The sequence below is a fragment of the Homo sapiens genome, chromosome 19, assembly GCF_000001405.40.
Source record: "Homo sapiens chromosome 19, GRCh38.p14 Primary Assembly".
Lineage (NCBI taxonomy): Eukaryota > Metazoa > Chordata > Mammalia > Primates > Hominidae > Homo > Homo sapiens.
In genome coordinates, this window is record NC_000019.10 from 37143728 (window position 1) to 37145539 (window position 1812).

Below are 1812 nucleotides of genomic sequence, written 5' to 3' on the forward strand. Positions count from 1 at the left end.
GAAACCCCGTCTCTACTAAAAATACAAAATTAGCTGGGCGTGGTGGCGCATGCCTGTAGTCCCAGCTACTCGGGAGGCTGAGGCAGGAGAATCCCTTGAACCTCGGAGGCAGAGGTTTCAGTGAGCCGAGATTGTGCCACTGCACTCCAGCCTGGGCAACGAGCAAAACTCTGTCTCAAAAACAAAAAAAAGGAGTTTTCTGGGGTCCCCTTGGCCACAAGGGGGTCCATTCAGTTGGGGAGTGGCTTAGGATTTTAAGTTTATAAATCTTAGGGAAAGACTCCCAGGAGAATAAGTGAAGACATAAAGCCATATCATGGAAAGATTTAAGTGTTCATCACTGTTATAATAGGCACAGTTATAATATTAAAATAATGATAATAATGATGATGTTAACAATGTCCTCCTCCTATGGGGCGGGGATGCAGGAATAGCCAGCCTTCTCAGGAGAAGTATTATGGCTACACTATTACTACTGTATTACTTTATAACTACAGCATGATTACACTATAACCAAGCCTGGGAGTGATCACACTAATGATGGCCTTTCAGGTGCAGCACTGCATAGGGGTTAATGGAATGGACTCTTTAGTTGGCCAGCCCAGGTTTGAATTTCCCTGTGCTTTTTAAAAGTTTTGTGATCTTGGAAAATTCCTTTATTCCTCTGTGACACATTCTTTGTGTGGGAAACGAGTATAATAATTGTGCTCATCTCAAGCATTAGGAGGACTGAATGAACCTAGAACATGGCCTGGTGCACATTAAACACTTAACTAAAATTTGCTGTCATCATTATTGTCATCACAATCAGCACTGTGTACTGGGTACCACATCATTTATGCTTCACAAATACCTTATAATGTGCGGACTATTTCCCTCTGGGTTACGAGATTGTCATTAGTCAACAGTGGTATCAATTGCAATGATAATGGTAATATAAATGCAAATGACCACAATGTCAGTGTGGTAGCCAGCCTCCAAGATTGCCCTCAATCAATCTTATCTCCTGGTATTCAAACTCCATAGAGTCTTCTTTCACGATAAATAGACTGACCACTGTAACCAATACTTTCACTATGTGGTGAACACACTCAAGTATTCTTATGGTGGGTTCCATGTGGTGAGAAACTGAGGCCTTTCACCTTCTGCTCATAGTCACGTGAGCTTAGAATCAGATCCAATTAGCCCCAGTTAGCCTTCAGATGACTGCAATTCTAGCCAACATCCTGATTGCAACCTCATGAGAGTTCCTGAGCCAGAACCACCTAGCTAAACTGTGCCTAGATTTCCAGTCCTCAGAGAGTATGTAGGAGAATAAGTGTTTATTATTATGTCACGCCACTAAGTTTTGAGTAATATGTTACACATAGCGATAGATAATTAATATGGTTGTCCTAGTCTGTTTGGGATGCTATAACAAAATGCCTAGGCTGGGGGATTTATTAAGAAGCCAAATTTATTGCTCACAGTTCTGATGGCTGAAAAGTCCAAGATCAAGATGCCAACACATTCAGCGTCTGGTGAGAGTTGTCTGCTTCTCAGATGGTGACTACTTGCCGTGTTCTCGCATGGCAGAAAGGAAAAGAAACTCCCTTGGCCCTCTTTTGTAAGGCCATGAATTGCATTCCTGAAAGCAAAGCCCTCATGACCTAATCACCTACCAAAGACTCCATCTCTTAATATTATCTCAGTGGGAAACTGATTTCAATATGTAAATGTGGTGGGGGAAGGCACAAATTTAGACCATTGCAGCAGTCGACGCTGTATTGTAAATGTGCCCATTTTCCGCAATATAATAGAACACACCATGGG